The 9,181-nt window shown below is 43.8% G+C and overlaps 4 annotated features.

Annotated features, from left to right (window-relative positions):
- Positions 1,316–1,475: an enhancer, noted in NCBI's record as "active region_7456". NCBI's record gives its function as "activates an Ori minimal core promoter by ATAC-STARR-seq in GM12878 lymphoblastoid cells {active_cell/tissue: GM12878}" and the evidence as "EXISTENCE:reporter gene assay evidence [ECO:0000049][PMID:35858748]".
- Positions 1,586–1,865: a silencer, noted in NCBI's record as "silent region_5173". NCBI's record gives its function as "represses an Ori minimal core promoter by ATAC-STARR-seq in GM12878 lymphoblastoid cells {active_cell/tissue: GM12878}" and the evidence as "EXISTENCE:reporter gene assay evidence [ECO:0000049][PMID:35858748]".
- Positions 6,785–6,954: an enhancer, noted in NCBI's record as "experimental_32713 CRE fragment used in MPRA reporter constructs". NCBI's record gives its function as "activates a minimal promoter by MPRAs in K562 erythroleukemia cells, with activity observed for both the introgressed and non-introgressed 13:24035428 variant alleles {active_cell/tissue: K562}" and the evidence as "EXISTENCE:reporter gene assay evidence [ECO:0000049][PMID:34662402]".
- Positions 7,484–7,533: an enhancer, noted in NCBI's record as "active region_7455". NCBI's record gives its function as "activates an Ori minimal core promoter by ATAC-STARR-seq in GM12878 lymphoblastoid cells {active_cell/tissue: GM12878}" and the evidence as "EXISTENCE:reporter gene assay evidence [ECO:0000049][PMID:35858748]".

Raw genomic sequence — 9,181 nt, 5'->3', positions numbered from 1 at the left:
CTTTATTTACTACATTAATCTTGAGAGTAAACAAGGTTCTTATCAAAAATTAATATTTTAATATTAAAAGAATTTATTAGAAAATAATTTATTTAATCTTTTAATATTTAAAAGATATTAAATAAGTTTACAAAGACAACAGCAACTAAGAATGACCATGACTGAATAGAGCAAAACTGTACTAAAATACAACAAATAAAATAAAGGAATATATCCGTGAAATGTTAAGAAAGGCACTGGCCCAAATAATCAGTACTGAGACTCCATCTTGGGTTTGCTTTAAAGCCTCTAGCATGAAGCTGATGGCTGCCCAGTCATCTCAAGGGGCAGCACTGTCCCTTAGGAGCTTACAGTTGAAGCCGACTAGGCAACCCCTAGCCTTGGGCAGAGCTGAAACTCAGCACTTACACACAGGACTGATGTTATAACTCGGAACACAGACTCCTCAGTTTCCTTTGATGCTTTTTTTCTGAGGGCCACTCACATCCGTCTTCTGTCTTCTTTCATGATCCTATCTTAACAATCATGTAAACTCAATCCTTTATCAGACACTCAACAGAAGCAGACTTTGTCAATTACTGGTGGAGAGAGTGTCCTAAAGAAGCTATCCATGAAAACAAGGGTGACCCGGCAGGCTTCACGAAGCCTTCACGAAGCCAGAGGGCAGGGGACATCCACCCTCACTCAGGACACCCTTGGGGCACTCTGTGCATCACCCCGCACAGCTGCTACTAATTAAGCCCTTCTGGGCACCATGTGTTTCCGTGACCTGCTCTTCCTGTGTCTTGTACTCATAATTTTTTCCCATCACATCACATGATCCTGCAGTTTCGGGACAATGCTGACTTCCTCTGCCATCCTCCGCAGCACACAGTGGGGCTCCTGCCACCCCGGGCCTTCTTGTGTCCTAGCTGAGCTGTGGACGGCCCTGCTCTCCCACCGGATCCTCCTGGGTCATGGAAGGATTCTTTGGAGACATGATCAGCTTCCTTACCCACCACCTGTGTGCCTTGGGCAACTGGAGTTCTCAAGCTCCAAGGCCTTCGTTTTCTCAGCTGCAAAATGAAGAGACTGGAACAGCCTCCTGTTTTGAAGAATCCCACCTGAGTTTATATCAGAACAATCTGAGATAGATATATAGATATAGATATATATCTTTTTACATTTTTTAAATGTTCTTTCCCCCAAAACCATGTCCTTTAAGTGGAGGAATCTATTTTTTAAAAATGATGTGGTTGTGCCCTCCAGTGGTTGAGCGTGAAGTCATCAGGCTGTTCGGGTGACAGCAGGGCTCGCAGGAAAGCGCAGGCCGTGCTAAACCGCCGAAGGACGAAGGTGGGTCTAAAGATAGATGAATCTGCTACTCCGGAAAGCACCGAATCGCCGTGTAGACCGGTCACCAAGTATAACTGCGAGCCCCAAGGCGTCACCAGCATGGGCATCCCAGCCTCGGTGCTTCAAGTCCTACTTCTGCTTGGCTATCGGGAAAGGCACGGCTTCGGGGCCACTTCTAGGCTCTCAACACGCGGCCGCTGCTGGGAATCCTGGCGGCCGCGGCTCTTCGCTCTCCAGTGGACCCAGTACTCCGAGAAGCCGCAGAGGCCTGGCCGCTGCAGCCTGCTCCCGACACCCGCTGGTCCGCCCCTCCCGCTCGGCTGCAGGGCTGGGGCGCCCACAGGCGGCAGCCGTCAGCCCGCGCCCGGAGGAAGCCCACGGCCGCCCCGGCTCCCCGCCCGCAGACGCAGCTGCGCAGCCTAGCGGGCTGGGTAGCGGGACAGCAGCGCACGCTGCCCGCTTCCGCTCGCTCCCCCGCGGGCCCTGCTCGATCGTCAGGGTTGCTGCAGGCGGAACTGGAGGAATAAACGCAAAGCCCCAGCCCCTCGTGAATTTCAGGGCCCCTCTCACGTGCAGGGTGTTCCCGCTTATTTCCAGACTCCTTGGATGCAAAACAATGAGTGAAGAACTGACAGTGAAGGCGGAGGGACTTACCTAAGTTATGCAATGATAAATAAATGGCAGATGAAAAATGGGACCTTTGGTTTCTAGTCAAAGTCCTTAGGAAGCGATTCGGCAGACGCAGGCCCAGGTGGCGAGGAGAATGGCCCCTTAGCCAGCTTTTAGGGTTCCGTGAGGGCTGAGCTAGGAGGGAGAGAAAAGGTTAAAGACCCTTCCGGTCCTTAGCATCACCACGAATGAACGTTTACCGAGCACTTACTTTATAAAGAGCACTGTGATAGATGCTGGGGAATATTCAGAGGAATAAATAGGACAATCTCATTTTCCAGGTCTACATTCACTGGAAGGGTCCCCTCCTGCAGGAACTCATTACTGGTCAACCACTGTGCCCTGTATGAAATCTACATGCTGTAGATTTCAGACATGTTTTCTGCCTCCGAGAGATTTATATGCTAGCAAACAAAAAAAGACATATATATAAGGAGATAAATAATAGCCAAGATATTTTTTGAAAAGTATTTGGGGTAAAAATACACATAAAAACATTTACCATCTTAATCATTTGTATGTGTCCTCTTCAGCAGTGTTAAGAACATCCACACCATTGTGCAGCCACACTCCAGAACACTTTTCATCTTGTAAAACTGAAACTCCACAGTCATTAAACAACATTTTCCCATTCCCCTTCCCCTAGCTCCTGAAAAACCACCATTCTACAGATGCTCCTTGACTTATGATGGGGTTAGGTCCAGATAAACCCACAGAAAGTTGACAATGCATTCCATGCCCCTAACCTACTGAACATCACAGCTTAGCCCAGCCTACCTTAAACGTGCTCAGAACACTCACAGTAGCCTACAGTTGGGCAAAATCACCTAACATAAGGCTTATTTTCCAATAAAGTACAAAATATCCCACGTAATGTATTAAATACTGTACTAAAAGTGAGAAGCTCTAATAGTAAGTGCTCAGTAAATGCTCAGAATGGTTCTATGGTGTATTAGTGTGTTCTCACACTGCTGATACAGACATATGGGAGATTGGGTAATTTATAAAGGAAAGAGGTTTAATTGACTCACAGTTCCACATGGCTGAGGAGGCCTCACAATCATGGCAGAAGGCAAAGGAGGAGCAAAGTCACATCTTACATGGCGGCAGGCAGGCAAGGCAGGCAGGCAAGACAGAGCTTGTGCAGGCAAACTCCCATTTATAAAACCATCAGATATCATGAGACTTATTCACTATCATGAGAACAGTATGGTGGAAACTGCCCCCATGACTCAGTTATCTCCACCCTTGACATGTGGGGATTATTACAATTCAAGGTGAGAATTCAAACCATATCATATGGGTACTCAAAGTACAGTTGCTACTGAATGCATACTGATTTTTCACCACTGTAAAGTAAAAAAACCATAAGTCAAGCCATCTTACGTTAAAAATGGTTTGTACTTTGTCTCTATGAATTAGACTATTTTAGGTACCTCATATAAGTGGGATCCTACAGTATTCGTCCTTTTCTGTCTGGCTCATTTAACTTACCATCTTCAAGTTTCACTCATGTTGTAGCACGTGTCAGAAGTTCCTTTCTTTTTAAGGCAGAATAATATTCCATTGTCTGTTTATAGCGCATTTGTGTATCCATTCATCCATCGATGGACACTCGGGCTGCCTCCACCTTTTGGCTGTTGTGAATAATGCTGCAGTGAACATGAGTGTGAAAGCAAACATTTTCAATATTAGTTGGAGTGTCTGCTTTCATTTCTTCTGGGTATACATCCAGAAGACTCTATGGTAATTCTATGTTTATTTTTTTGAGGAACCACCACACTGTTTTCCCTAGTGGCTGTACACTTTTGCATTCCTACCAACAGTACACAAGGGATCCCAAGACATCATTTTCAACCTTAAAAAAAAAAAAAAAGCGGTTTCAGGTTCACAGAAAAGCTTCACAAAGAGTACAAAGAACACCCATATTCCCCAGTTGTTAGTATTTTACCACATTTGCTTCATCAGCTTTTGTCTTTATTTACAGACATATTCATTTTTGGCTACGATGCCCATCATCCCTAAATACTATTGTGTGGATCTCCCTAAAGCGAGGGCACTCTCCTATGTAACTACCACACAGCCCTCCCAACCAGGGCGTTGACGTCAATTCTGCATCATCTGGGCCTCAGACCCCATTCACATTTCACTGACTGTCCCAAAAATGTATTTCCTTTTTTTCCTTTTTGGTCCAAGATCAGAATCATGTGTTGCACTGAGCCGTCACATCTCATCAGTTTCCTTCCATTTGGAACAGTTTCTCAGTCTTTCCCTCTTTCATGTTTGTATTGGTTTGTTCTGGCTGCCATAGCAAAGCACCACAGCCTGGGTGACTTAAAGAACAGAAATGTATTGTCTCACAGTTCTGAAGACCAGAAATCCAAGTTCTAGATGTCAGCAGGTTTGGTTTCTTCTGAGGCCTCTCTCCTTGGCTTGCAAATGGCCATCTTCTCCATGTGTCTTCCTGTGATCTCCCCTCTGCGTGTGTCTGTTTCCTCATCTCCTCGTCTTAGAAAATCACCAGTTATATCAGATAAGGACCCACATCAATGGCTCGATTTTAATTTTAACTTAATTGCCCCTTTAAAGAGACTATCTCTGAATTATAGTCATATTTTGAGGACTGAGAGTTAAACTTCAACATATAAATTTTTGAGGGGGACATGATTCAGCTCATAACAGTGTTCTCGAGAGTCTTAAAAGGTACAGGCCCTTCAGAGTGTAAAATGACACATACAGAGATAACACTCTGATGTTATCTCACGTCTAGACTCAGTCCACACATCTTGGCAGGACTACCTCAGAAGTTATGCTGTGTTCTTTTCAGGAGCAGGAGCCAACATTTTTCAATTGACCAAGTTGGTGTCTGCCAGTTCCTTCATGATAAAGTCACCATCTTGGACTTTGTATTTGATTAGTGTTTGGGTGGAGAGATTTAATGTCATGTCAGTATCCTGTTCTTTTGTCAAACCTTCACGGGTATCCTTAGCATCCAGTTAGGCTTTTGAAGTTAAGAGAGGGGAAGGAAAAGTGGAAAGAGAAGAAAAGGTGGAAAGAATAAAGTTTAAAAAAAATGTTAAGATAGCATTTTAAGGTACTTAACTGGAATGTTTAAAAGGGGAGACCAGTAACCTTCTATTTTCAGTTCCTTGTTTTTCTTGTAGCTTTGCCTAGGATGGCTACAGTAATGCTTACATAAATCAAAAAAATGTGCTCTAAAAGAGAAATTTAACTGAACAAAATCTCATTAGTAATGATAATTCAGCAGATTTTTTTTTTGAGAGTTTACTATGGGCTAAGGTTTCTCTAAGTATCAGTTCTTTTCATTCCAACTGCAATTAGATGAGGTGGCATTATTGTAATTTCTGTCTTACAAGTGAGTAAATCGAAGTATAAACATTCCAGGGTCCTACAGCTAATAAGCCTCCTTGGAGTCTCTGGGTCTAAAGCCTGTGATTGTAATCATTACCTATATTGCTATCTGGGCACAACGCAGCTACTAGTATCTGCAGTGGTAGAGATCTGAGGTCCTACATGCTCCAAAGTTGAGTTCATTTCTACATTTAGTGTCAAAATGACGAAGTGGTTTCCAAAATTGGAAAATGAGTTTCCATTCCCTCTTCTAATTAGAATTTTTAAAATGTTTTCTTTGTTTTGTTTTTCAATTTCCAAATTTTGTTTTTCAGAGGAAGTAATGCCTTATCTTTCATTTCACTTAGCTAGCTCAAGGAGAGGACTGAATTCTTTTTTTGGAATACGCAATGACCTGAATATGCAGTGTAAGAGTCAGTAGCAACAAGTGCAAGTCAGTGAAACAATTAGTTTCATAAACACAAAACATGGCCTGGCCAGCAAGGGAGGGCCTGAGTGCAGTCTTTAGCACGTCCACACACCACAGGGCAAGATGTTGGACCAACCCTATTTTTACCTAAGACCGGGAGGAGAGCAAATATCTCCTGAAACTGGCTAATTTTCCAAGCCAGGAGCTTTATACAGTCTAAACGACCATGTGAAGTTAGCATTTTTACCTTCATTTTGTGACAAGCAAAGTGTGGTTCAGAGAGATTAAGGAGACAACCGTAGGTCAGTGCTGGAGCCCAGATGTGAACCCACATTTGTCTGGCTATCTCCAAATCTCATGTTCTTTTTATTTATATCACACTGACTGCTTTTCGGTGAGTGATATCCCACTAAGAATTGAGACTGATTCTCAACTCCCCCAAAGCCATGTGCCAGGCTCTCCTGGAATGTGGTCAGCATTCGATGGGTGGGAATGAGGTGCCCAGGATTGAAGGTGCTGCTGTCAGGGAGGACCCCAGCTGCACTCACAGCTGTGTGACTTGGGTATGTTCCTCAGGCCATGTGTTCACCATTGTGCTCATCATAAAATAGGGATTATATCATCTGACTCATAGAGTGAAGGGGATTAAATGAGATAGTTCATACCACATGCTTAAGACAGGGCGTTGCAAATAGTAAGTGCTCAATAAAAGTCAGCAATTATTAATTTATTATAACTAACTGGTCTGGTTAGACTGCTGATTGAATTATGAATTTGGAAAGCTGTTCCATGAGGGTTACAGAACAGCCCTATCCTATTCAACGGCTTAAAAGGGACTTGAGTATGTGTATGGCATACATACTCTTTACATTTAGGATGATGGTAGCTTGGATGGTAGGGTCAGATACCCAAAGCCTGGGAATCTGGAGTAGTATGCAGCTAGACTGTGTATAGATGCCTTAAAAAATCCACCATCAACTCAGTGGCTTAAACCAGCACTCATTATTGTCAGCTGATCTCAGCTCTAGGCTGGGGCACTTGAGCTGGGGCACCTGTGCTCCATGTGTCTCTCAGCCTCCTCTCAGGGCACAGCGGCCATCCCAGACACAGCCTTCTCATGGTGATGGCGGAAGCATATGCATCCAAGTCCAGTCATGGAAACACTGTTCAGGGGTGTATGATCTCATAACTCTTAACTTTCCATTGGCCAAAGCAAGTCACATGGCCATGGTGAAGGCTGGAGAATGACACCACCCTGCAGAGTGAGGGCTCTGCAAAGCTAAGCAGGACAGAGTGCACGGAAGAACTGGGACCATTCGTGCAGTATAATATAGGCTGGATTCAAGCAGGTGGATACATTTAAGATTTTTTGTTTTTGTTGCTTATGTCCAAATTTTATCCCAAGAAGACAAGCCTAAGCAACAGCAACTGTAGGAAGGAAGTGGTTGACGCTATGTTTCCTAATAGGTAAGGAGACCATGCAATTGTCATCCAAACTAGGACATTCAAGAGTAAAACAAGAGCATCATTAACAATTCAGCCAGGACAACAGGCATATTGGAGACTGTCCTGGGCAAAGTGAGACCTGCGATCACCTAATGTGTAGCTTAACATATTGCTATGGACATCATGTGCTCAGGCTGAATTACTGGGTGTATAACACTAGAGGATGAAGAAGACAGTTGTGCTCTCCTTAGTGCTGGGCTGGCCATACCTAAAGTATTGTCTTTATATTCGAGTTTTCAAACTAACTGCTCTGTTTAGAAGAGAGGTGAGGGTGCTGTGGGGTGTAGAAACTTTGTCAAATGACTCTTGATGCAAGGAACAGAGCATATTTGTGAGAAATAGGAAATGCTTATGGGACACTTGACATCTGTGGTCAACTATATGAAAGTCTGTTGCAGAAAAGAGGAATTAGACATGCTTGGTATTATTGCACAGGATAGACCTTAGACCAATGGTTCTAAAAAAAGAATATTGAAATCTGAATCAGAAAAATTATATCTTATTTCTACTTACCAGCTGTGTGACTGGCTAAGCCATGCAACTTCTCTGAGCCTCAATTTCCTCATTTGGAAAGAAGCAATAATGTAAATAAATAACTCAGTCTTGCTGTGAGGATTAAATGAGATTGTGTTCGTATTATCCAGGGTTCTCCAGAGAAACAGAACTGATAGGATATATGTGTGTGTGTGTGTGTGTGTGTGTGTGTGTGTGTGTGTGTGTGTGTCTATACATATATGTAAAAGAGGGGATTTGGCTCATATAATTATGGAGGCCAAAAAGGCCCATTATCTGTCATGTGCAAGCTGGTGAACCAGGAAAAATGTGGTGTGAATCAGTCTGTGCCTGATAGCCTGAGAGCTGGGGGAGCCAATGATGTAACGCTCTGTCTGAAGGTGAAGGCCTGGGAATGGGGCGGGGGTGGGGGCTCTGCTAGTGTATGTCCCAGGGTCCAAAGGCTCAAGAGCCAGGAGCTCTGATGTCCAAGGGCAGGAGAAGATGGATGTCCCAGTTCAAGGATGGAGAGGGGAAATTGAGAGAGAGAGAGAAAGAGAGAGAGAAGGGGAGGGTGGGAGAAAGAAAGAAAGAAAGGGAGGAAGAGGGAGGGAGGGAGAGAGAGGGAGGAGAGAGAGAGAGAGAGAGAGAGAGAAAGATTCTCACTTCTTACTTCTTTGGCCTTTCTGTTGTATCTGAGCTCTCAACAGATTGGATGATACCTTGGTGACAGCAGATATTCTTTACCCAGTTTACTGATTCAAATACTAATCTTTTCCAGAAACACCCTCACAGACACACACGCACACAGAAATAATATTAGACTGGGCATTCTTAGCCTGTTCAAGTTGACACATAAAATTAACCATCACCATGTGTGTGACTGTACTTTGCAAATTATAAAGTGGTGTATAATTTTAGTACGGTAATATGGGCATCAGATTCCTGTCCAATTTAAGAAAATGGTCTCGAGAGTCGGGATGGCTGCCTTAGGAAGTAATGAGACCATTTAAGTTGATTGGAGAACACTGAGAATCTCTGGAAAGGATGTTGTGGAGAGGTTTCAAACAAGGTGTGTGTCCTCAATTATCACAAAGGTCAGTTTCAGCCCAGGCCGTCTGCAGTTCTGCTGAAGAGGAAAGATGGTGCCAGTTATCTAGAAAGCATCAGGCAGACGCTGTTCTAATCTGCTGTCTGGGATGGGGAGATTCAGGACACTGGAGTACATAGTTTTAGAAGGGACTGTAATTTGATCATCCTGACAACCTTTAGTGCTGTTAGACTGCGTCAATCCTCCTCCTATCTTATGAACGCCTCCCTTAGGGAGGTCAGAATCACACCCATTGAGCTGCCTTTCTTCCTGAAATGTTACCTTTATTTCCATGATCCATTCCAGGG

Source organism: Homo sapiens, chromosome 13, assembly GCF_000001405.40.
Source record: "Homo sapiens chromosome 13, GRCh38.p14 Primary Assembly".
Classification (NCBI taxonomy): domain Eukaryota; kingdom Metazoa; phylum Chordata; class Mammalia; order Primates; family Hominidae; genus Homo; species Homo sapiens.
This window is presented reverse-complemented; position numbering and strand designations above follow the sequence as displayed.